Here is a 24940-nt window from a genome sequence, read left to right as displayed (position 1 = left end):
CATACACACACTTATCTCCTCAGTTTTTTTTACACAAAGGATGTCCATATTGTAAATTGCTTGCCATTTTTTAGTTTTATATTGCTTCATACAGTTAATAGCATCTATCTTCTTTTTTTATAGTAACATTTAAAGTTAAGGCTCATATTTCTGGCTACTCACTAGATGAACTTTGCCAAATACTCTTGAAAACAACAACCGTGACTTGGCCATCATAAAGAAATAGTTGCAAGTGGAAGTATAATTCTCTAAGAGGTCTCTTGAGACTTAATGAGTCTCAGTAAATGTGAAGAAGGGAAGAGATTTCAATTTCTGGAGAAGATAGACTTTTTCAAACAGCTTTATTGAGAATTCCTCCTATTGAGAATCCTGAATTATAATGATACATGCTATTAGTGGAACTTCACTGTGTGTATGAAAGATATGAGGGTAACCACTAGTCTTTTTTTATACCCGTGAATTAGCTCTAACCCTGAGTCATTGCTTCCATAAAATCCAGTAGTCACAACTACATGCAGATCCAAAGAGAGGTTCGTTTGTCCTTTTCCTAACCATAAAAAAAGACTATCGTAGTTTATCTTACCAAGTCGGGTTGTTGTGCCTGAGAAAAGCACTGCCGAATTCCCTTTCCCCCTTCTTTTTTTTTTTTTTTTTTTTTGAGACGGAGTCTCGCTCTGTTGCCACAAATGCAGTGGTGTGATCTCAGCTCACTGCAACCTCCGCCTCCCAGGTTCAAGTGGTTCTGCTGCCTCAGCCTCCGAAGTAGCTGGGACTATAAGCACGTGCCACCACACCCAGCTAATTTTTGTATTTTTAGTAGAGACGGGGTTTCACCATGTTGGCCAGAGTGGTCTGGATCTCTTGACTTCGTGATCCGCCCAGTGTTGGCCTCCCAAAGTGCTGGGATTACAGGCGTGAGCCACTGCGCCCAGCCTCCCCCTTCTTTTTCTGGGTATATATATACAAAATAATCGAAGGCAGAATCTTGAAGAGATATTTGCACACTCATGTTTATTGGCCCATTTTGCGCAATAGATAAGAGGTCGAAGTAACCGAAATGTCCACTGACAGATGAATGGTTACAGAAAATGTAGTATGTACATACAAGGGAATATTATTCAGCCTTAAAAAGAAAGAACCTGTCATATGCTGCAAGATGGATGAATCTTAAGGACATTATACTGAAAGAATAAGCCAATAACAAAAAGACAATTACTGTATGATTCCACTTACATGAGGTATCTACAAGTAGTCAAATTCATAGACACAGAAAGTAAAATGGTGGTTGCTAGGGGTTGGGGTGAAGGAGAAATGAGAAAATGGTGTTTGATGAGTATAGAGTTTCAGTTTTGCAAGATGAAAAAGTTCTAGATATCTGTTGCACAACAATGTGAATATGGTTAGCACTACTCAACTGTACACTTAAAAATGGTATACAGTAAATTTTATGTGTTTTTTACCAGAATTAAAAAAAAACCCAAAACTAACCCCTTACTTTAGAATTGTGCTGACAGGCCAGTCAGCTGTGTTGTCATTAGATCATCATCTTTTTTTGGTGTGTCTGGTAAGGGTAATGGAAATACCAGAAACCTGACAAATAATAGTTGTGGGTCTTTTAAGTTCTATGGGGTGCTGCTGTTATTTCTATCACTTTGTGATGCTTTTCCATTGGCTTTTTTTCTATTGAATATTTTCACCCCTTTCTAGTTTACTTTTCAGAGTGAAATAGATATAACAAGTGTAATGCTTTGAAACAATCCTTTTTCTCTCCTTCAGGTGTGATGATGATCAGATGTCTAACGATAAGGAGCGGTTTGCCAGGTAATATTGTAGTAGGTAATATATTGTAATATATAATATGATCCATGTTGTAGAACCAGACAGTCCTAGCATATTGACTTAATTTTTTCTGGATGAGACGGAATTTCTCTGTTTAATATCTTTCCTATTTGGAAGTATGTGAAACTTAGTATTATAACTATCATTTATGTTCAGGTGACATGGCTTCAAACTGGCGGTATATTTTATACAGTGTTTTTCTGTGTATGTGATAACTAAAGCAATGTGCTTGCAAGGTTTCCATAGGAGCACAAATTATGGATTTTGTGCTTGCATTTATTATTAAATGGATCTACAAAAATAGGAATACAGATAATGGTTCTGTAATTAATTTATTTATTTTGAGACAGAGTCTTGCTCTGTTGCCCAGGCTGGAGTGCAATGGCGCCATCTCGGCTCACTGCAACCTTCACCTCCTGGGTTCAAGCGATTCTCCTGCCTCAGCCTCCTGAGTAGCTGGGATTATAGGCCCCTGCCACCACGCCCAGCTAATTTTTGTATTTTTAGTAGAGATGGGGTTTCACCATGTTGGTCAGGGTGATCTTGAACTCCTGACCTTGTGATCCGCCCGCCTCGGCCTCCCAAAGTGCTGGGATTATAGGTGTGAGCCACCGCACCCGGCCTATTTTATTTTTTTGAGACAGAGTCTCACTCCATCACCCATGCTGTAGTACAGTGGTGTAATCTCGGCTCACTGTAACCTCTGCCTCCTGGGTTCAAGCTGTTCTTCCACCTCAGCCTCCCTAGTAGCTGGGAATATGGGCATTTGCCACCATGCCTAGCTAATTTTTGTAATAATTTTTTTTAGCAGAGATGGGGTTTCACCATGTTGGCCAGGCTTGTCTCGAACTCCTCACCTCAAGCGATTCACCCACCTCAGCCTCCCAAAGTGCTGGGATTACAGGTGTGAGCCATTGTGCCTGGCCTATTATTTTATTTTAAGATATGTATATTTTTTAGAGACATTGTTTTCATTGTGTTTCCCAGGCTGGAGTACAGTGGCATGATCATAGCTCACTGCAGCCTCAAACTCTGGGGTTTCAGTGATCCTCCTACCTCAGCTTCCCAAATATTGGGATTATATGCATAGCCACCATGCCTGGTTGGTCCTGTTTTTTTAAAAATGACAGTAAGAGGCGGGGAGTGGTGGCATATGCCTGTAATTCCAGCACTTTGGGAGGCAGATGCAGGTGGATCACTTGAGGTCAGGAGTTCAAAACCAGCCTGGCCAACATGGTGAAACCCCATCTCTACTAAAAATATAAAAATTAGCCGGGCATCATGGTGGGCACTCATAATCCCAGCTACTCTAGAGGCTGAGGCATGAGAATTGCATGAGCCCGGGAGGTGGAGGTTGCAGTGAGCAGAGATGGCACCATTGCACTCCAGCCTGGGTGACAGCAAGATTTTGTGTCAGAAAAAAAAAAAAAAGACAGTAAGGAAACAGTTTTTGTGACAAGTAGAGTTTTGATTGAAAAAAACTTAAATTTGTTTAAATTACCTATCAAGATGATGAAATATACTTTTTTTTATTAAATTCTTAAATGTCAGTTTTCTTTTTAGAAAGTTTTTATTAAATATTAGGCAATAAATTATTTCTTTTTTGAAAATTAAGTTTGTAGCTACCTCAGAAAGATGAATAATTCGTTATTTCAAAATCCAGTGATTAACTGAGCACTTAGCACTTAGTATTTGTTCGTTGCTGATGCTCCTGGTCTCGGGAACATACTTTAAGAACCGTTGATGTAGAGAGATTAGAAATATCAGGGGAAGTAGTTAAAAACTATTCTGGAGTGGTGAGATGCAATCTCAGGCTTTGAATTAGAGGGTATTACATAAAATGCATTGTAGGGATATTTCTCTGGTAGCAGTTATAGAATTGATTAAAGGGATGGACTGTTAGACTGTAGGGAGGTAGATAGGAAGCTGTTGAAATAATAAGACAGCTATAAAATCATGAGGGCCTGGGTTACAGTGGCAGTGGTAACAGGAAAGGAGTGAAGTTAAGAGGTTTTTGAAGAATAATTTGTTTATCGAAACTAATTGAAATAAATATTTGTAAAGTCTTTAGGATGTGAACCATCTCTAAAATGAGAAGTTAATCATAGATATTTGGAGGATAGTTTTTCAAGCTTCATTGAAAAGTCAGGCCATCAGTTATTATTGGCAGTATCTTGATGAAATTTCAAAAAGCCATGAAAACATCGCATGAATGATTTTGGTTTTCATTTGTCCTGCTTAATGTGCATATATTTCATTCAGAAATACTGAGGTGGATTAGGGATTGTGGATCTGTAGTAGTAGTAGTAGTAGAAATAGGAATTTTAGATGCTTAACTTTTTTTTAAATAACAGAATTCATTCATATGATGTGTTAAGGTAGTGCCCCTCACATATCCTCCTTGGGATATAGAGGGTCTTAAAAGCTGAAAACTTCTTGAAAAACTTTTGGGATTATATGCATAGCCACCATGCCTGGTTAGTCCTGTTCTTTTAAAAATGACAGTAAGAGGCCGGGAGTGGTGGCTTATGCCTGTAATTCCAGCACTTTGGGAGGCAGAGGCAAAAGTTGCTCAACTTTTTGAAAAAAAAGAAGTTTGTAGTTTGTTAAGGAACTATCTAGAAGAAATAACCCAAGGAATGTAAAACTCTAAACTGCTGAATATCACTCAGTTCTCCTTCTCTTGTCATCAGAATATATGCGTAAATTTTTACATTCTTCTTCATTGTTACTGTGTTATTTTCTGCCTATTGACCATTTTATAAAAACATTCCCATATATTGATAAGGTTATTGTATTTGTCATTTTTAATAGCTAAATAATCTTTTAGCTTGTTAACCTGTCATACTTAGACATTTTATTCAGGGCCTCTTTATCTATATAAATATATTTAAAATGGAATTGACACATTCCTGACACAATGGCCTGCCAACACCTTGCTATTTCCTCAGTTGCCACCCATCATTACAGTATCTCAGTTTTCTAGAAAAATTTAGTGATGGTTCTTTGTATCCTTCTCCAGTGGAGAGGGAATTGTTACTTTTGATCCATTCCTGTGTGGCTATACTGCAGAGAAATGGCAAAAGGACCGAATCAAAGTTAATAATTATTTTAGGAACAAATCAATAATAGAAGATATGCCAGAAACCTACCTCTTAGAGTTATTTATATAATTTCTCCAGTGAAATCTGGTTGGTTATTTTGTCATTGTGTGGCACGTGCATGTGTTGTTTGTGTGAGAGGGAGAGAGATTATATTTGTCATCACTTGTTTGATAGTATCATCTTTAATGTACTCTGTCTTTAATTTCTTCATTATAGAATAGCACATGTGGATATCATTTTCTTTCCAGATTGGGAGCAGTGCATGAAAATGGTATTCCTGAATTCCCTTGGTTGGTTCTTGTTCAGACTCTGTATATCTTTGGTCCCTACAGAGATCGATTGGCAAAATGCTTTCTGTGTTTAGATCATGTTAATTTACTATATATTGGCTTTGCTTTTATGTTGACCTTTATCTTGTAAGTTACTTTTTCTTTATCCTAACAGATGGCTTTGTAGAGTTACAGGCAAGGTTCCTGCCTATAATTCCATTTCCCTCCTCTCTTCTCTGCATCTGTTTAGTTCTATATCCTTTTCTCTCTTCTTTCTCCTTTTCTTTTTTTTTCTCCCTCCATTTCCTCTCCCTCCCTCCTTCCTTTTTTCCCTTCCTCCCTCCCCCCTTCCTTCCTTCTTTTTTATTTTAATTTTAGCTTAGTTCATTAATTCTATTTTTAGGTCGGATGATGAGCAGAGCTCTGCGGATAAAGAGAGACTTGCCAGGTAGGAGAACAGTGTCTTTTAGCATGATGAAGCAGATGATGCTGCTTTTTCTATCCTTTTTCTTACTCTTTCTTTTCTTCCCCTTTCTCTTTGTATTTTTCCTTATCTGTGGCAAGAGAGGACAAGATTTTTTAGAAGTTTGAGTGTAACAGGAACTTTGGCTTCCCCCATCAGAAAGTGGGTGAGTTGAGGGAACTTTGCTTAGGGATTTAAGAAATTGCTATTAGTTTTAAGTTTTTTTTTCTTTTTCTCTTTATGTCAGTACTAAGTTTCACAGAACAAAAAGCTCTTAGAAGGAATGCAACCGTGCCAGTTGGTGCTTTAACAGGGAAATACTCTTTTTATCAGAAAACCAATAAATATATCTGTATTTGTGATTAGTTCCCAGTATTTAGGCCTCAGCATTTACTCCACACCTCTAGGAAACTCACACCTATTTTCCTATGAAGACTCACAGCCTAGATTATTCTCACAACAGAACTAGTGTTGCTTTGGTGACCGAATCCTTTCTTGCGGTAGTTTTCTAGAAAAGTTTTAGTTTCCTTGATGTGGCTATTTAAAAGACCAGGTTTCTGTACTTACGTGTCAGAAATCTGTCAGATACTAGGAAGATGAGTGCTTTATGTTTGAGAATAGAATTTTATGTCTTAGGCAAAGTGTAACTAAATATGGGCCTATGTGGTGAGACCCTTTTTGCCATTTAGAAAGGAGACTCTAGAATTCTCTTGGGAGACTGTTGTTTGTAATGTAGAAATGCTGCAGAAGAAATATGCATAGACTTTTCTGTTTTCTAGTATCTGTGATTTGGGGGTGACTTAGGAAATAGATCATTGATGCCAATACCCATTTTTACTATATTCCCCCTTTTTTCTACTATTTCCTCTTTAATCTGGGTCACAAACTCATTTTGCTGCCAGTTTAACTCGAGCTTCTTACTAACCCTTTCACTGTTCAGAAAATGGATTTGGCATGATGTGGTGGAGAAAACATTGTATTGGGAAGAGAGCAGCCTGGGGAAAGTCACTTACCTACTTGACCTCCCTTTGCTCTTCTCAGAAAAAAGAGATTTATGTTAGATTTTTAATTTTCTTACTTTCTTTTTTTTTTGGACAAAGAACTTTTGTTCAAGTAGAATTCTTAAGTGGTAACAGAAATAAATAAAAGAGATAAAGCAGGCCGGGCGCAGTGGCTCATGCTTGTAACCCTAGCACTTTGGGAGGCCGAGGCAGGCAGATCACGAGGTCAAGAGATGGAGAATATCCTGGCCAACTTGGTGAAACCGCGTCTCTACTAAAAATAAAAAAAAAAAAAACTGGGCGTGGTGGTGTGCGCCTGTAGTCCCAGCTACCTGGGAGGCTGAGATAGCAGAATTGCTTGAACCCAGAAGGCGGAGGTTGCAGTGAGCCGAGATCCCGCCACTGTACTCCAGCCTGGGTGACAGAGCAAGACTCCATCTCAAAAAAAAAAAAAAAAAAAAAGAAGAAGAGAGATAAGGCAAATATTTGAGTAGAAGCAGAAATGCAGCATGTTGCATGATTATCTCCTTGAGGCATCCCCATGGAGGACACTGAGAAACTTAATGGGCTTTTAAAAATTCCTGTTGGAAAACTGCTGGATTATTCCTGTTAACAGTGATATCTTTCTGTCTTAATTTTGAGGAAGTCAGTGTTGGAGCTGTGGTCTATTTACCTGGGTGAGATTCAAATTGTCTTGTCAGACCTTTAATCATCCTCCTCTCCATTCCACTCCTCCAGTTAACTTCGTCCCAGACTGGGGACCCATATGGGACTTTTAGTAGATGGTGTATCTTAAGTCTTGTAAGAAGTTTAGTGCACTGGCAGCACACCCAGATAAAGAAGGTAGGACTTTGTGCATTAATGGGCCAAATAAAACTTCAAAATCTTCAAATTCTGCCTTTTAATGTTGCAAATAAGAGAGAGGCTTACCATATTTTATAGACCAAGGAAATCTGTACTATCAATTCTTGTATCAGCTATGGAGCCACATACTTGAGTTGGCAAAAATTGGTCCTTTTATTTTCTGGCCTTTAAATAGTTGAATTAGTAAGCATGGGAGTTAACCAAGCTGAGGTTATATGTTCCATAGGAACTTAAGTGAGTAAAATCAGCATTTAAAAATACTATCTTTTTTTTTCTCTTGTTTTTTGTTTTTTGTTTTTTTTTGAAATGGAGTCTTGCTCTGCCACCCAGGCTGAAGTGCAGTGGTGTGATCTCAGCTCACTGCAACCTCCACCTCCCAGATTCAAGTGATTCTCCTGTCTCAGCCTCCCAAGTAGCTGGGATTACAGATGCATGCCACTGTGCCCTGCTAATTTTTGTATTTTTAGTAGAGACAGGATTTCACCATGTTGGCCAGGCCGGTCTCAAACTCCTGGCCTCAAGTAATCCACCTGCCTCCATCTCCCAAAGTGCTGGGATTACAGGCATGAGCCACCATGCCTGACCTGTCGTTTCTTAAAACAGCTTTTGTTCTGAGGGAGTGGTAATTTACAAAGGATGTGAAGTTTCCAGGAAATAGGGGGAAGGGAATTACATTATCTTCTTGTTCTCTGTCTGCCTTATTAGTTCTGTTTCATGCTTGCTTTGCATGAGAAGGTTGGCAAACCTTATTTTAACTGCTGAGACTTAAGCATCACTAAATCTGAATACCACATTCTTCAGCAGCACACTTGGTATCCATATCACTCTCCCTGCTACCAAATGACCAGATGTGACCACCTGGATGGGGCTTCTCTTTCTTTCCATGCAGGGAAAATCACAGTGAAATTGAACGGCGGCGACGGAACAAGATGACAGCCTACATCACAGAACTGTCAGATATGGTACCCACCTGTAGTGCCCTGGCTCGAAAACCAGACAAGCTAACCATCTTACGCATGGCAGTTTCTCACATGAAGTCCTTGCGGGGAACTGGCAACACATCCACTGATGGCTCCTATAAGCCGTCTTTCCTCACTGATCAGGTCTCTGGGACTTATAGTTCTGAGAGAGTCTGGAATCTGGGTGAATCTCTTGAAAGTTTTCGTTTTTTGGACAAGAATTCAGCTTTTCAGGAAGAAGTCAGACAATGGGAAAACGAATTTCAATCCTTGGCTATAACATTAATTAGCATTGGGACAATGAGAAGTAGAGAAGAGTTGTGAAAACTATTTAATAAGCTAATAAGTATTAATATTTGAGAACTTGACTCATGAATATAGCATATAGGATGGAAGAAGAACAGTGGAATCACAGAGGAAATGACTATGTCCATGGAACCAATTTTCTTTCTTGCCTTTAGGGTTATAGAAGATGGAAGAAATCTATTTCTTATCCCTGAAGCAGCTTCTAGTTTTAGTAATAGAATGAATCTGTCCCACCTTTGGTGATAGAAGAACTGAGAGTCTAATTGTTGCTTAGGGATGTGCTCTGTTACATGTGATCACTATGAAAAAAAGAAGGCGTAAACATTTTCTGCCTTTCAGGAACTTCATCTGAATATAAGTATGTGAGTGGCAGGATATCACAGAAAATAACAGGAAAATGCATAAAGAGAGGAATTGTATTTTTTAATTAGTAATTTTATGTGGGACTAGATAGACATACTGAAGGGATGGCTAAAGTGAATAGAATGGCTAGACTTGAGTGAGGATGGTTAGGGAAGACTTCTGAGGGTAAGGAAGCCATGTTCTGTTTTGGTTATTAAAATAACATGATCATTGCAGAAAAATTTGGAAAATGTAGGAGGTATAAGGAAGAAAAAAATTTACTTCAGTATCAATCAAGTATTCCCTTAATGCCACCAATTTAATCAAATGATTAGAAAGAAGGAGAGAATATAGTTTGAGAAAATGGAATAAGAATTTTCCAAATAGGATGGTCTACTTAAAACTACATACTTTGTAGCTATATACATTGAAATAGTTAATATGTTCTAACAGTACATGTGCAAGTATTCAACAGACTCCAGTTATGCACCTTTTGTGGGCAAACCAGGTGTGTTGTGCTGTGAGAAATAGAAAGAATGGTGAGACAAATGGTTTTCTGGTGGAAACAGACATGTAAATAAATAAATTAAACATAGAACTAGTTCTATAATAGAAGTGCTGTAATGAATCCTGTAAAATGCAGATATGGAAAATGAGTTGGGGAGTAGTGTTGTGGATTTTGGGAAGCACTTGAGCAAAAACCTAGAAGTGTGGAATAATTGGGTTATGCAAAGAAAGTCAAGTGGTTTAGCATGTTTTTGGTAGATAATAGGAAGGTAGGCTGGGATCTAATGATGGAATGTTTAGGTGTTAAAGAATTTAGATTTTAATTTTTATGCAGTGGGGAGACATAAAAAATGTATTAGATCTGGTAGCATTTTAAGGATTGATTGAAAGCAGGGCGACTACTTAATTAGTTTTGGTAAAAGATGACTAGGACAGTGACAAAGCATTGGAAAGTAGAATCGATAAAACTGAATTATCACTGGAATGTGAGAGAATAGTTAGATTTTGAGGCTTCTAGCTTAGGAGGATGCTGTTAAGAATATTGGAAGAGCACGGCAGGTTTTTTTTTTTAAGAGGGAAATAATGATTCAGGTTTTGGGATGTTGATGTTGAGTTGCTGGTAGAATATTTATAAATATTTTACAGATACTTGAAATTCAAGTCTGCTGAAAGCTCAGGAAAAAACGTTAGTCATGTCTAGGGCTATAGACTTGGTTATTATTTCGTAGTGGGGAAGAGTGAATATGGTTTCCCAGGAAGAAAGTATGGTATTAATAAAGAGGGCTTAAGATGAACTTTGGAAATGTCTACATTTAAGACTTGAACAAAGGAAAGGAAGTCTGAAACAGAAGAGGAAGCAAAAATTGGAGTACAGTCTCATAGAAGAAGGTAGGGAAAAATAAAATTTAAAGGATAAGATGGACGACATTGTCACATTCTGCAGAGAGGTTGAATAAAGTGATGAAGACCCAGGAAAAGGGACTTGAATTGGTAATTAGGAGGACATTAGTAACCTCATTAAAAATATATGTATGCTGTTCCTGGCAGAACAAAAACCAAACCAAACAGGAAAACAGTAGTTTAGAGTGAGAGTGAAGTGGGATTGAGAAATAATTGAAAGGTAAGAGGATAAAGCCAGTGAATATAACATTATTCTTAGTATAAGCTTGCTGCTGAAAAAGAGAGATGAGGTGGGTCAAACTGAGGGAAGATTTATCTAGAATTGAGAAAACTTGATCATTTTTATAGGCCTGAAGGGAAAGAGAGAAAGTGGGAATATTTGTCAAGCAAGATCCTAAAAAGAGACCAGAGAGGATGGAATTAAGAAGTCAATTATTGTTCATGGTAAGCCTTTTTTTTTTTGAGACAGGGTCTCTTGCTCTGTCGCTCAGGCTGGAGTGTGGTGGTATGATCTCGGCTCACTGCAACCTCTGCTTCCCAGGCTCAGGTGATCCTCCCACCTCAGCCTCCGGAGTAGCTGGGACTACAGGCGTGTGCCACCACACCTGGCTAGTTTTGTTTTTGTTTTTGTTTTGTTTTGTTTTGTTTGTTTGTAAAGATGGAGTTTCGCCCCATTGCCTAGGCTGGTCTTGAACTCCTGGACTCAGTGACCCTCCCACTTTGACCTCCCAAAGTGCTGGGATTACCGGCGGGAGCCGCTGTGCCTAGCCCAAGCCTTTTTATTCTTCTTGAATCCTGAGATAGAGAGGAAGAGGTGGATAGTGACATAGAGAAAGTGAGGAAACATGTATTAGAAAAAACTTTCTTATCGATGAACTACATTTAGGGTGGAAACCTGTGGCTGTGGATCAGGTGTGAACCAGCAGTTGCTTACGGAGAGATGCATGTGGCCTGAAGTGTCTTACTTCTTCCTGTGAATAGAAATACTTGTTTTTTCAGAGTAAAATATTAACTTCTATTTCTTTTTCTTGCGCAGGAACTGAAACATTTGATCTTGGAGGCAGCAGATGGCTTTCTGTTTATTGTCTCATGTGAGACAGGCAGGGTGGTGTATGTGTCTGACTCCGTGACTCCTGTTTTGAACCAGCCACAGTCTGAATGGTTTGGCAGCACACTCTATGATCAGGTGCACCCAGATGATGTGGATAAACTTCGTGAGCAGCTTTCCACTTCAGAAAATGCCCTGACAGGTGAGAGTTATGTGTATGGGAAATGAATGAGAAGTCCTTTCTTGTTTTTTTCCTGAGACTTAAGAGATGTTTTAGCTGTTAAATTGGTTTGTTGACTCTGGCAAGGCTTCAAGAATTTTCTACTTTAATGAATATAGTCAGTTCTTTTTATCCATATGAGATTATCTACTTTGTGGCTCAGCCTTAGAAAATATTTCATTGGTGATAATATTTTACATTTATCTTAATATTGGTATAAATAGAACAGTAAAAGCCAAACCTACAATACTTTTTTTTTTCCGTTCTAAAAGAATTATCCATGTTTTTATCTCATTTGTATGGATAATTATCTGGTATTTTTTCTACCTCCTGGTGCTTGGCTTTGTGCTAGGTTCAATGATAACAGCTTTTTATTCTATAGATATGGTTATTGGTCAATGTATAAGGTGTTTTCTGTTGTTGTTGTTGTTGTTGTTTGTATCTGTACTGTTGTTCTTTTTTTCTCCCCTATTTTATTATGTTCAGTCTTTTGGCCAGAGTTTGGCTAGAGGAAACAAGTCATATCTATTCTTGAGCAACTCTAGAAAAAAATTTAAAGTGGAAGCAGATAAAAAAACTGGTAGTTAAAATGCAAGAAATTTCAATATACTCATATTAGTGTTGTTGATCTTTAGTTTTCCTCCTTTTTTCCCACCCAAAAAAGAGACAGGGTCTCTCTCTTGCCTAGGCTGGAGTACGGTGGCACATCATAGCTTACTGTAATCTTGAACTCTTCTGGGCTCAGTAATCTGCCTGCTTACAGCTTCTTGAGTAGCTAGGAGTAGTTCATGTCACCACACTTGACCAATTTTTAAATTTTTTGTAGAGACAGGTTCTGTCTGTTGCCCAGACTGGTCTCAAACTCCTGGCCTTCAGCATTCCTCCTCCCATCTTGGCTTCTCAAAGGGCTGGGATTATCGGCATGAGCCACCACACTTGACCAGTTTTCCCCTCCTTTATGTTTTTATGATTTCATTTTTCTAGTTCTTCCTTTTCCCCAAAAGTTGTTCTTCGTTTCTGTATAATAAAGAAGACAAACAGATCTATATGTTTCTATAACATATAAAATTACTTGGTTTTTTTCTTTTTAAAATTTTTTCTTTTTATTCTTTTTTTTTTTTTTGAGACAAGGTCTTGCTTTATTGCTGAGGCTAGAGTACAGTGACTCTTCACAGGCACAGTCATAGCACACTACAGCCTCAAACTCCTGCCCTCAAGCAGTCCTCCTGCCTCAGCCTCCTGATTAGCTGGGACTACAGAAAAGTACTTGTTTTTCAACCAATGACATTTACTCTGTATGTATGTCTGTATGTGTATACAGATAATCAGCTATGAGAATATAGCCTTGCCTCTTGTTTTCTACTACTACTTTCCACTCCTACTTTTCCTTGCACAATGTTATTTTCAATGCTGCCTTTGAACTTAAGAGTGAGATTCATTGATGATAATTGAAGTATTTTAGGCTTGAAAAAAAATTCATCTCCTGCTTGGTCAGTTCTGTTATAAGCAAGGAGATTAAGGGCATGAATAGGATGCTTACTTATCTTTGCCTTCAGTATCTCTCCCCCTCTTCCCCACACACAAAAATGCACTCCAGACTGCTCTTCACATCTTCCTTCAGGGCGTATCCTGGATCTAAAGACTGGAACAGTGAAAAAGGAAGGTCAGCAGTCTTCCATGAGAATGTGTATGGGCTCAAGGAGATCGTTTATTTGCCGAATGAGGTGAGTGTCAAGCTGAGGATTGTGATTTGGTATAGGAAGGATCAAGAGCTGAGAGTTTTATTTCTGTCAGAGTTAAGTTGGATTAGCTCCAGTGGATTAAATTTAACTCTCCATACCCAGATGGATTGTAACACAGAATAAAGTATTTGGAAAGGGAACTAACGTTTCTGAACTTGCCAGACACTATGATAGGTGCTTTATATCTGTCATCTTATTTTATCCTCACAATTGCCTTGTAGTGTAAGATTGATGGTTACCATTTTGCAGATGGAAAAACAGATATAAAGAAATGAACTTGGCCAGGTGCAGTGGCTCAAGGCTGTAATCCCAGCACTTTAGGAGGCTGAGGCGAGTGGATCACCTGAGGTCAGGAGTTTGAGACCAGCCTGGCCAACATGGTGAAACCCCATCTCTACTAAAAAAAAACAACAACAAAATTAGACGGGCGTGGTGGCGTGCGCCCATAATCCCAGCCACTTGGAGGCTGAGGCAGGACAATTGCTTGAACCCAGGAGGTGGAGGTTGCAGTGAGCCGAGATTGTGCCATTACACTCCAGCCTAGGCAAAAAGAGTGAAACTCTGTCTCAAAAAAAAAAAAAAGAAAAAGAAAAAGAAATGAATTTCCCACTGTTACATACTGTTTGATACAGGATTTTGTTTTAATTCATAGTAGTCTGACTACAAAACCTCTACTTTTTCCCTGTTACAACACAAGGCAATATCCATTTACTCAGACCATTTCTTCTTTTTTTTTTTGGTTAGAAATTTGAGACTTCCTATGTCTTTCAGTAGGTGTTTAGTGTTTATAAATTATATACTGTACGTTTTAGGATTCTGTAGAAAATATGGTGGTCCTTTCTATACAGGTACAAAAGGCATCTCAGGGTCACAAAGTTCAGGCTATATAATGGAAATTGACTACATTGTACTGAGAGGATAGTTGCTAGAAATTATGGGTAGGATATTAAAGGTTTGCTTGGAGAGGCACAAAATTGAACATTATGTGGTTTAGTGATTTATTTTTATTTTTATTTATTTATTTTTTTGAGACAGAGTCTTGCTCTGTTGCCCAGGCTGGAGTGCAGTGGCATGATCTTGGGTCATTACAACCTCTACCTCCTGGGTTCAAGCGATTCTCATGCCTCAGTTTCCTGAGTAGCTGGATTGCCACCACAGCTGGCTAATTTTTGTATTTTTAGTAAAACAGTGTTTCACCATGTTGGCCAGGCTGGCCTCAAACTCTTGACCTCAAGTGATTCGCCTGCGTCAGCCTCCCAAAGTGCTGAGATTACAGGCCTGAACCACTGCACCCAGCGTGTAATTTAGAGTAGCTTCTAGACCCAGACTGCTGGATTTTGTTTTAATCCATATTCTATGGATTTGAATTCTAGCTTTGATGCTATCTTCTGAAACCTTGGATGATTACATGACTACATTGTGCTTTGATTTCATCATCTCACATTGGCGATAATGTTAATACTGACTTTATAAAGTTGTTATGAAGATTAGATGAATTAATATATGTAAAGATATTTAGAACAGAGCATGACACATATTAACCCTATGTAAGTTTTATTTTTGTTTTAAAGGATAGGGAGAGGGAAAGTAGCATTGGCAGGAGTATCCCAATATGTGGACATGGCTAATGCAAAGACATAGGCAAGAGCAAGATAATAATGAACTGTAGCAATTACATTAAGTTGTGGTTAATGTAGAGCAGGAGTAAGCAAACCACAGCCCTTTATTTGTAAATAAAGTTTTATTGGAACATAGCCATGCCCATATTTTTACATATTATCTATGGCTATTTTCATGCTATAATGCTAGAGTTGACTAGTTGCAACAGACTTTCTGGCCCGCAAAGCTGAAAATATGTACTATCTGGTCCTTTACAGAAAAAGCTTGCCAACTCTTGATGTTGAGAATGTTTGCATATGAAGAACATATGGAACATTTTGACTTCAAATTCTAAAAGTTTTAGAAATACTAAACTTGACCTATCTTTATCCTTCATTATTAGTAGCATTACCAATTTTCTATGTCTGGTTGTATCCAGAGCATGTTATTCTGCTATTACTGTGGAAAGTTCTTTGATAGGGCAGTCTGATTGCTTTTAATCTCTTTATTCCTTGAAACAGGTGTGGCAGTAGCTCTGTGGACCCAGTTTCTGTGAATAGGCTGAGCTTTGTGAGGAACAGATGCAGGTGAGATCCTAAGTGGTGAAAACCAAAGGGATGGCCAAATACCTGCAGAGATCATCACATTTTTACCTGTCTTACTGTAGTCGTTCCTTCAGCAGCTCTCACTTGCATCCCTTACCTCCCACTTAACATCCCTTACCTCCCACTTACTTTTTTTCTGGCAATATTTTCCTAAACTTCTAAAACTTCTCTTGAAAATCCTGTTTAAGGAAGTCGCTATGCTATTTTACCTACTTTCCTCCTACTGCATACCTTTTGGTTACTTTACTTTGGCAAGGGTAAAAATGTGGCGGTCATTTTTGGGTGGGAAAGATGATTATCCTGTTTTCTAAACTCCTAAGAGCATAAACTTAAAAGTACTAAGGCAGCATTGCCCTTTGAGTTTTACGGGTAGATTTTTTTTTTTTTTTTCAAACTCCTGTAACTCTTCTAGGAATGGACTTGGCTCTGTAAAGGATGGGGAACCTCACTTCGTGGTGGTCCACTGCACAGGCTACATCAAGGCCTGGCCCCCAGCAGGTAAGAAAGTGAAATAGTAAATATTTCCCCTTGGTACAGTTGGTTCCTCACAGAGTCCATGAAAGCTAATATTTATTATATACCTGGTATATGAAATGTACTTTTGTGTAAGATGAAAGAAAATAGGAAAAGAAAATGTACAATCCTTCCCTTCCATTATTGAGCTTTTATTCCAGTTGAGGAGATAGATAACTCAGGCTGGAAAATGATTCAGTATTGGCTGTGTCACAGAATGTGGTTTTTATGTGAACAAATTTATACTGAACATATGTATTCTAAGCATTTGTTGCAAAGAAACTTAGACATTGAATGCAGTTAATTTGAGAAAGATTTCTAAAGTAGGAACAAGACTTTGAGAGAAAAGGGGAAAATGCCTTTATTGTAATAACTTATCAAGAGGATATTCTCTGCAAAGACTTTAAATCAAGCTTTGAGCAGATTAGCTTTACCAGAACTTGAGGTCAAACAAGGAATGTGAGAAAGGTGATTGGGTTGCAGGATCAAAGTTTTAAGTTGGCTTGTCAGAGTTTCCAAATCTTAGCAACTTTATTACTTCCCTGCTGCCTGGGTATTATTGGAAAGTAGGGGTTTTGGGGAGACAGAAACTAAGAGAAAAGAGAAGCAAGGTGATGTGTTTTGGAAAAAGGTTAAACTTTGGATGTGGAGAAACCTGGATGTGATTCCTGTCATTGTTACTTATTAGTGGCATCACCTAGGGTAAGTTGCTTGACCTTTATAAAGCTCAGTTTTCTCATCTGTAATTCAGAGTTAGTACATCCTGTATAGGGTTTTTGTGAGGATTAGATTTAATGTAAGGAAAGCATCCAGCCCAGTGCCTGGCATATGGCAGGTAACCCAATAAAAGTAATTAATGTAATTTAAAAAAATTTAACTGAAGTAGTAATGACATTTGAACTACTTAGTCTATATACTATATAAGCCACACAGTTAAAGTATGTGATCTTTCATACCTCTATGTAGCATCAAGGAATACTATTTTTCTGGATAAAAAGAGTATAACTATGCAAAAAACAGGGGAGAAATGCAGTCTTCTTCCCTTTCTGTGTAAAACATTGGTTTTTCTCTTTTCCAAGGGACATGAATAACTATTGATGGTTGGTATAACTTCATTTTGGGTTGCTTGCTAACTTTAAAAGTTACAGATTAGGCAAAGCATAAATTTTCTGCCTATAACATGGTCATAGAATGGATGTCTTCATATGTGCCATATTTGGCCAGCATAGTTTTTTAGAGTACTCTGGGTAGGACTTGTATTTTCCAGTTTACTATAATTAACATGGGTAAAATGTAGGAATTAATATATATGTAAATACTTAAAACAATGACTGGCATATATGGTAAGTTTTATATACTTGTTTATTCTTATTTATCATTCTCTATTGCTTTATGCTTAGCCTCTTCATAACTAGATGTATTTTGTTTTGTTTTGCTTTTTGGTTTTTTTTTTGAGAGGGAGTCTCACTCTGTCTGTCGCCCAGGCTGGAGTGCAGTAGTGCGATCTCGGCTCACTGCATCCTCCGCCTCCTGGGTTCAAGTGATTCTCTCACCTCAGCCTCCCAAGTAGCTGGGATTACAGGTGCATGCCACCATGCCTGGCTAATTTTTGTATTTTTAGTAGAGATGGGGTTTCACTGTGTCGGCCAGGCTGGTCCTCAAGTGATCCGCCCACCTTGGCTTCCCAAAGTGTTGGGATTACAGGCGTCAGCCACGGTGCCTGGCCCATAAATAGGTCTATTTTGAATCTTTACTTGTCTGAGTTTTGAAGGCATTTGAGTTGGAGGTCCCCGTTAAACCTTTTAACGTCACGTTTCTGAAGGTGTTTCCCTCCCAGATGATGACCCAGAGGCTGGCCAGGGAAGCAAGTTTTGCCTAGTGGCCATTGGCAGATTGCAGGCAAGTATGAATTTTCCACATCTATATTCCCGTTCAATTAGAGCAGATCTTCAGGACTCATTCCTGTTAATTTTCTTTTACTTTCTGAATACAAATGAAGAATTCCATAAAACTCTCAAAATTTGAAGGAATATGGCATTTATAGTGACCATTGCTATTCTTGGATTTAAGTAAAGTTGAAAAGTATGAGAGGAGGGAGATCTTTTTCCCCTTGTCTTAATTTTAGCTTTACTATGCTTAATTTTCTATTTCCAGTTAATTTCCTTTGCCCCTATACAAAAGAAGAAAGATCCTTTTCATTGTATCATTACCTGACTAACAATAGAAAAGTGGAATTATTTTGATTTTTTCATAAGTATAGATAAGTTTCTTGGTTACTTGTACCATATCAACCTGAGTAATGAGTTCAGCATAGCCAGTATGTGGATTTTAGATTGAATAAACTTTATTCTTACTTTACTAACTTGGTAAAGTGTAAATGTATGGGAGCAGAGCTAGACCTTATGCCTTGTCTGATTGTGATTGTCATTTTTTTTTCCTTTTTGGATAAAATGTGAAAGTTTAGAAAGTCCTAAAACTGGGAATCTTATGTCTATGCAAAAGACCATGAGGAGATAGGAAATACATCTGTAAATAATGGTATCATTTTACCTCATTTTTATCTCTTCACTCTCAGGTAACTAGTTCTCCCAACTGTACAGACATGAGTAATGTTTGTCAACCAACAGAGTTCATCTCCCGACACAACATTGAGGGTATCTTCACTTTTGTGGATCACCGCTGTGTGGCTACTGTTGGCTACCAGCCACAGGTGAGGAGCTGGAGCTCCATTAGGCCTCCATTTTCCTTTGGCTATGTTGACATTATGTAATCATGTAGTTCCTAAGACAGCCAAAACATATCAACCTCAGTTAAGAAAAAGAGATCATCATATTCTGTTAGTACCTAACATTATTTTCAGCTTCCTATTAGGACTGTCATCTCATGTAGAGAAATATGGCTTGTCAAACCAGGTGGGAGCAGCAGGTACAAATATGTATTTATTTTTTGTTGTTGATATTAATACAGATGATTCAAAGGTACTCATATTAATTAGTTATACCAGTATAGCTACATTTAGATAATTCATGTAATTACCTAAATGAATAATGGCCCATAAAACATGCAGATTTAGCACCAGTTATTATAATTTACTCATGCAACAGACCAGTTAGCCATCTCTGAATTGACGCATCATATAAACTTTTAAAACTGTTGTGGGTCGGAAGGACTTCTGGCTGTGGCTATGTGAAAGAGGTTGGTGAAAAAGAGGTCTTGAAAACAAAGAACAAAGAGAATTTACACTACCTGATTCAACACTAACTATAAAGCTATTACCAAGACACTGTGGTGTTGGTGTAAGGATAGATATATAGATCAATAGACCAGAATAAGGTCTATTCTTATACTTGTCAACTAATTTTCAGCAAAGGTGACAAGACAATTCAATGGATAAAATAAATATTTCTAACAAATGGAACAATTGGATATCTGTATGCAAAAAAAAAAAAAAACAAAAAAAAAACCACACCCAAAAATGAAAACACATAGATCTTACCTCATACAATTTACAAAAATCAGCTTAGAGGCCTAAATGTGTAAGAGCTAAAGTTACAAATAAACTCCTAGGAGAAAATCTTTGTGATTTTGAGTTAGGCAAAAGATTTCTTACACTAAAAGCATGATTCACAGAAGAAAAAAAATTATAAATTGGATTTAATTGTAATTAAAATTTGCCCTCTTTAAAGGATATTATTAAGAAAATGAAAAGACCAGACATAAATGGAGAGAAAATAGTTACAAGTCATATACCTGAAAGAGGATTTGTACCAGGAATATATAAACAACTCATTAAGACAAACAGCTGGTAAAAAAGAGCATAAGACTTGACATTTGACTGAAGAATAAATATGCATTTATGCACATGAAAAGATGCTCAACATCTTTTTACCATTAGGAAAGTGCAAATTAAAATCACAATGAGATACCACTATATACCCACTAGAATGGCTGTAATCAAAAAGTATTGGTGAAAATGTGTAGAAGCTGGAAGGAACCCTCATACATTGCTGATAGACATGTAAAATGGTATAGCTACTAGCTTTGCAAAAGCATTTTGGCAGTTTCCTACAAAGTTAAACATACTCTTAGCCTATAACCTAGCAATTTTATTCCTGAGTATCTACCTAAGAGAAATGAAAACATGTTCACCCATAGATTTGTACACAGTTCATATCTGTATTATTCATAATAGCCAAAAAAATGAAAACTATTTAAACGTCCATTAACATTTTGTAAATGAATACACAACTGTGTTGTATCCATGTGAGAATACTACTGAGCATAAAAAGGAATAAACTACTGATAATGCAGCCATGTAGATGAACTTCAAAAATACCATGCTCAATGAAAGAAGCCAGACCCAAAAGACCACATATTATGTTGTTTTATTTATATGAAATTTGTAGAAATAGCAGAACTAGAGAGGCAGAAAGCAGATTTGTGGTTGGCTGGGGAGTTGGAGTGGGAGCAGAGATTGACTGCAGATGGCACAAGGGAACATCTTGGGGCAGTGAATGTGTTCTGAAACTGGATTGTGGTAATCATTGCACAACTATAAATTTAGTAGACATCATCAAATCATACACTTAGAATGGCTGAATTATGAATGTAAATTTTATCTAAAATTTATAATCTCATTAAAATAAATGTATAATATTCTGAGAAAGAAAAATGTTTTAGAAGCCAGCTCCTTAACAGATTCTGCCTTTTTTTAGTAGATTTCATCTTTTGTTTATTGTCTTTTTTTTTTCTCCTCCTCACTTAACTATAATCTTAGGATTAAAACAGAAGAAATAAAATCCAGGTCCCCAGCTGATGGACCAGGCCAGTTAGATGACCATAAAATTATATATGTTGGCTGGGCACGGTGGCTCACACCTGTAATCCCAGCGCTTTGGGAGGCCGAGGCGGGTGGATCACTTGAGGTCAGGAGTTCGAGACCAGCCTGACCAACATGGTGAAACCCTGTCTCTATTTAAAAAAATACAAAATTAGCCAGGTGTGGTAGCACACCCCTGTAATCCCAGCTACTTGGGAGGTTGAGACAGGAAAATTGCTTGAACTCAGGAGGTGGAGGTTGCAGTGAGCCAAGATCGCGCCATCGTACTCCAGCCTGGGCAACAAGAGCGAAACTCCATCTTAAAAAAAAAAAAGTATATATCTTACTCTTCTTTCTGTATTCTAGGAACTCTTAGGAAAGAATATTGTAGAATTCTGTCATCCTGAAGACCAGCAGCTTCTAAGAGACAGCTTCCAACAGGTAACTTTTTTCCTGGTTTGGTTCTGAATAAATATTTGTCATATTCACTCCATAAATATTGACTACTGATTAACTGAACACTGTGGCAGGCACTACAGTTTTATGTTCTTTAGTAGTTAATCTGCATTTTTAAGGAATAGAAAAGGACTAATACTTTGAAATTATGGATAATGCCCAAGGTATTTCTGTTTGGCTTTGGCTATTTACTGTCTTGTATTCAATTAACTGTATCCAAGGAGCTGTCTTTAAGGTATTTAAACTATTGCGCCAGGCATGGTGGCTCATGCGCCCAACCTCTGTAGATGCTGTGAAAATAGATGTTTTCCTCGTCTGGGCATGGTGGCTCACGCCTATAATCCCAGCACTCTGGGAGGCTGAGGCAGGTGGATCACTTGAGGCCAGGAGTTCAAGCCCAGCCTGGCCAACACAGTGAAACCCCATGTCTACTAAAAATACAAAAAATTAGCCTGGTATGGTGGTGCATGCCTGTAATCCCAGGTACTCGGGAGGCTGAGGCACGAGAATCACTTGAACCTGGGAGGCAGAGGTTGCTGTGAACTGAGATCATGCCACTGTACTCTAGCCTGGATGACAGAGCTAGACTCTGTCTCAAAAAAAAAAAGATAAAAAAGAAAATTGTATACTTCACTAAGCTTGTAGTAGAAAAATTCATTTTATATAGTTTTTTTTTTTTTTTAGAAGGAGTCTAGCTCTGTCGCCAGGGTGGAGTGTAGTGTGCAATCTCAGCTCATTGTAACCTCTGCCTCTTAGGTTCAAGCGATTCTCCTGTTTCAGCCCCCCGAGTAGCTGGGATTATAGGCACATGCTGCCACGCCCAGCTAATTTTTGTATTTTTAGTAGAGGCGGGGTTTCACCACGTTGGCCAGGATGGTCTCGATCTCCTGACCTCGTGATCCACCCACCTCAGCCTCCCAAGGTGCTAGGATTACAGGCATGAGCCATTGCGCCCAGCCTAGACTGTTCTTTTATGGATGAGTGAGAGTCGTAATGAATTATATAAGCTGACTGTTAATTGTCATTCTCAGGCTCCAGCTCCTGAAAATATCTGGTGAATTTTATAGACATGGCTTTTGATAACGGTTTTTACTTTGTATTAGACAAGTTAATTAACCTCTTTAAGTCTCAGTAGTGTCGTTATTGATACAATGAATATATTAATAGTACCTAAATTCAGACGGTTGTTGGGAAGATTAAATAAGGTAATGAATATAAAACACATCACCCAGTATTTGATACGTAGTATTACAAAATAAGTGGTTAGCTTCTAATACTGTTTATTTTTATTTTTTTAATTTTTAGGAATATAGAGTTAAAAGATTATTTTCTATTCCATGAGACTAGTATCTAAAATAACCTAAAATTGGCTGGGCATGGTCGCTCATGCCTGTAATCCCAGCACTTTGGGAGGCTGAGGCAGGTGATCACTTGAAGCCAGGAGTTTGAACCAGCCTGGCCAACATCTTGAAACCCTGTCTCTACTAAAAATACAAAAATTAGCCGGGTATGGTGGCTCATGCCTGTAGTCCCAGCTACTTGGGAGGCTGAGGCATGAGAATTGCTTGAACCCAGGAGGCAGAGGTTGCAGTGACCCAAGATTGCCCCACTGCACTCCAGCCTGGGCGATAGAGCAAGACTGTCTAAAAATAAAATAAAATAAAAAATAAAATAACTAAAATTACTTTTAAAAAATAAAAGCAAAACAAGACTAAAGCCAACTTAATTTTATTTATGGAAACCTCTGTAGATGCTGTGAAAACAGATGCTCTCATCTGGGTGCAGTGGCTCACACCTATAATCCCAGCACTTTGGGAGGCCAAGGCAGGCGGATCATTTGAGGTCAGGAGTTTGAGACCAGCCTAGCCAACATGGTGAAAACCCGTCTCTACTAAAAATACAAAAATTAGCTGGGCGTGATGGTGCACGCCTCTAGTCCCCAGCTACTCAGGAGGCTGAGGCAGGAGAATCACTTGAACCCTGGAGGCGAGGTTGCAGTGAGCCAAGATTGCACCACTGCACTCCAGCCTGGCGACAGAGCGAGACTCCATCTCAAAAAAAAAAAAAAAGAAAAAGAAAAGAAAACAGATGTTCTCAGGTTTCGGGGAAAAAATAGGATTGAAGAGCAATATATAAGCTATATTCTGTGTCCTTAAACTTACCAAATTTCTGGTATAGACTTGTAAAGCTAGGTCAGAGTATCTTTAATGGATTTCCCAAGGGAAGTAGGGAAACAGTCTTTTCCTTCCTGGAAATAAGTTATTATTCCTATTTGACTAGAATAGTATTAGGTTGGTGCAAAAGAAATTGTGATTTTTTGCCATTTTTTTAAATGGCAAAAAATGCAATTACTTTTGCACCAACCTAATAAGAAAGCTTGAGTCTCTGGCCGGGCTCAGTGGCTCACGCCTGTAATCCTAGCACTTTGGGAGGCCGAGGCAGGCGGATCCCGAGGTCGGGAAATCGAGACCATCCTGGCCAACATGGTGAAACCCCGTCTATACTAAAAATACAAAAATTAGCTGGGCGTGGTGGCACGTGCCTATAATCTCAGCTACTTGGGAGGCTGAGGCAGGAGAATCGCTTGAACCAGGGAGTCGGAGGTTGTAGTGAGCCGAGATTGCGCCACTGCACTCTAGCCTGGTGACAGAGCGAGACTCCGTCTCAAAAAAAAAAAAGTCTGGGCACGGTGGCTCACACTTGTAATCCCAGCACTTTGGGAGGCCGAGGCGGGCGGATCACAAGGTCAGGAGATCAAGACCATCCTGGCTAACATGGTGAAACCCCGTCTCTACTAAAAATACAAAAAATTAGCTGGGCGTGGTGGCACGCGCCTGTAGTCCCAGCCACTCGGGAGGCTGAGGCAAGAAAATCGCTTGAACCCGAGGGGTGGTGGTTGCAGTGAGCAGAGATCGTGCCACTGCACTCCAGCCTGGGCGACAGAGGGAGACTCCGTCTCAAAAAAAAAAAAAAAAGCTTAAGTCTCTGAAAGGAAGCATGAGAAATATGCTTCCATGTTTAATCACTTAGTTTTTACTCTCATTTTGTTTTAATATTGAAAAATATTGGTGCCTCAAGGACAATGACAAGAGTTTTAGGGTTATAGAAATTGGAAAATTTTTATTTATTTTTGTAATGAAAATTTTCTATGAGTTCCACTGATGGCATGAAAACTTTTTCAGGTAGTGAAATTAAAAGGCCAAGTGCTGTCTGTCATGTTCCGGTTCCGGTCTAAGAACCAAGAATGGCTCTGGATGAGAACCAGCTCCTTTACTTTCCAGAACCCTTACTCAGATGAAATTGAGTACATCATCTGTACCAACACCAATGTGAAGTATGTATTATACAGGAGTGTGAAAAAACTGTTTTTCCTCTGTTCTCACA

General features: G+C 38.5%; 1 protein-coding gene across 38 annotated transcripts in view, besides 8 other annotated features; it reads left to right on the top strand.

The window, feature by feature from the left end:
• Nucleotides 1–24940, top strand: part of ARNT (aryl hydrocarbon receptor nuclear translocator) — a 66887-nt gene that overhangs the window by 28516 nt on the left and 13431 nt on the right. For 14 of the 38 annotated variants that reach the window (XM_017001294.2, XM_005245157.2, NM_001286036.2 and 11 more), the window contains 11 exons: nucleotides 1777–1821; nucleotides 5616–5660; nucleotides 8430–8643; nucleotides 11591–11804; nucleotides 13444–13546; nucleotides 15685–15750; nucleotides 16181–16266; nucleotides 18104–18180; nucleotides 18857–18991; nucleotides 21467–21541; nucleotides 24739–24890. In XM_017001294.2, the coding sequence (XP_016856783.1) occupies nucleotides 1777–1821; nucleotides 5616–5660; nucleotides 8430–8643; nucleotides 11591–11804; nucleotides 13444–13546; nucleotides 15685–15750; nucleotides 16181–16266; nucleotides 18104–18180; nucleotides 18857–18991; nucleotides 21467–21541; nucleotides 24739–24890 (1212 nt within the window). The remainder of the gene's footprint in view (nucleotides 1–1776; nucleotides 1822–5615; nucleotides 5661–8429; nucleotides 8644–11590; nucleotides 11805–13443; nucleotides 13547–15684; nucleotides 15751–16180; nucleotides 16267–18103; nucleotides 18181–18856; nucleotides 18992–21466; nucleotides 21542–24738; nucleotides 24891–24940) is intronic. The other 24 variants (XM_047420727.1, XM_017001296.2, NM_001197325.2 and 21 more) reach the window with 3 other exon arrangements.
• Nucleotides 2254–2398: an enhancer, noted in NCBI's record as "145 bp 1:150818234 sequence used in MPRA reporter constructs". NCBI's record gives its function as "activates a minimal TATA-containing promoter with rs7514004 allelic activity by MPRAs in C283T melanocytes {active_cell/tissue: C283T}" and the evidence as "EXISTENCE:reporter gene assay evidence [ECO:0000049][PMID:36423637]".
• Nucleotide 2326: a transcriptional cis regulatory region, noted in NCBI's record as "rs7514004 or 1:150818234 MPRA-significant variant associated with a GWAS melanoma risk locus at 1q21.3". NCBI's record gives its function as "allelic transcriptional activity by MPRAs in C283T melanocytes {active_cell/tissue: C283T}" and the evidence as "EXISTENCE:reporter gene assay evidence [ECO:0000049][PMID:36423637]".
• Nucleotides 11599–11743: an enhancer, noted in NCBI's record as "145 bp 1:150808889 sequence used in MPRA reporter constructs". NCBI's record gives its function as "activates a minimal TATA-containing promoter with rs2228099 allelic activity by MPRAs in C283T melanocytes {active_cell/tissue: C283T}" and the evidence as "EXISTENCE:reporter gene assay evidence [ECO:0000049][PMID:36423637]".
• Nucleotide 11671: a transcriptional cis regulatory region, noted in NCBI's record as "rs2228099 or 1:150808889 MPRA-significant variant associated with a GWAS melanoma risk locus at 1q21.3". NCBI's record gives its function as "allelic transcriptional activity by MPRAs in C283T melanocytes {active_cell/tissue: C283T}" and the evidence as "EXISTENCE:reporter gene assay evidence [ECO:0000049][PMID:36423637]".
• Nucleotides 19833–19977: an enhancer, noted in NCBI's record as "145 bp 1:150800655 sequence used in MPRA reporter constructs". NCBI's record gives its function as "activates a minimal TATA-containing promoter with rs10305714 allelic activity by MPRAs in C283T melanocytes {active_cell/tissue: C283T}" and the evidence as "EXISTENCE:reporter gene assay evidence [ECO:0000049][PMID:36423637]".
• Nucleotide 19905: a transcriptional cis regulatory region, noted in NCBI's record as "rs10305714 or 1:150800655 MPRA-significant variant associated with a GWAS melanoma risk locus at 1q21.3". NCBI's record gives its function as "allelic transcriptional activity by MPRAs in C283T melanocytes {active_cell/tissue: C283T}" and the evidence as "EXISTENCE:reporter gene assay evidence [ECO:0000049][PMID:36423637]".
• Nucleotides 20398–20542: an enhancer, noted in NCBI's record as "145 bp 1:150800090 sequence used in MPRA reporter constructs". NCBI's record gives its function as "activates a minimal TATA-containing promoter with rs2089082 allelic activity by MPRAs in C283T melanocytes {active_cell/tissue: C283T}" and the evidence as "EXISTENCE:reporter gene assay evidence [ECO:0000049][PMID:36423637]".
• Nucleotide 20470: a transcriptional cis regulatory region, noted in NCBI's record as "rs2089082 or 1:150800090 MPRA-significant variant associated with a GWAS melanoma risk locus at 1q21.3". NCBI's record gives its function as "allelic transcriptional activity by MPRAs in C283T melanocytes {active_cell/tissue: C283T}" and the evidence as "EXISTENCE:reporter gene assay evidence [ECO:0000049][PMID:36423637]".

Source organism: Homo sapiens, chromosome 1 (assembly GCF_000001405.40).
Source record: "Homo sapiens chromosome 1, GRCh38.p14 Primary Assembly".
NCBI lineage: Eukaryota > Metazoa > Chordata > Mammalia > Primates > Hominidae > Homo > Homo sapiens.
The sequence above is the reverse complement of the archived record's forward strand: the minus strand, read 5'-3'. Positions and strand labels throughout refer to the sequence as shown.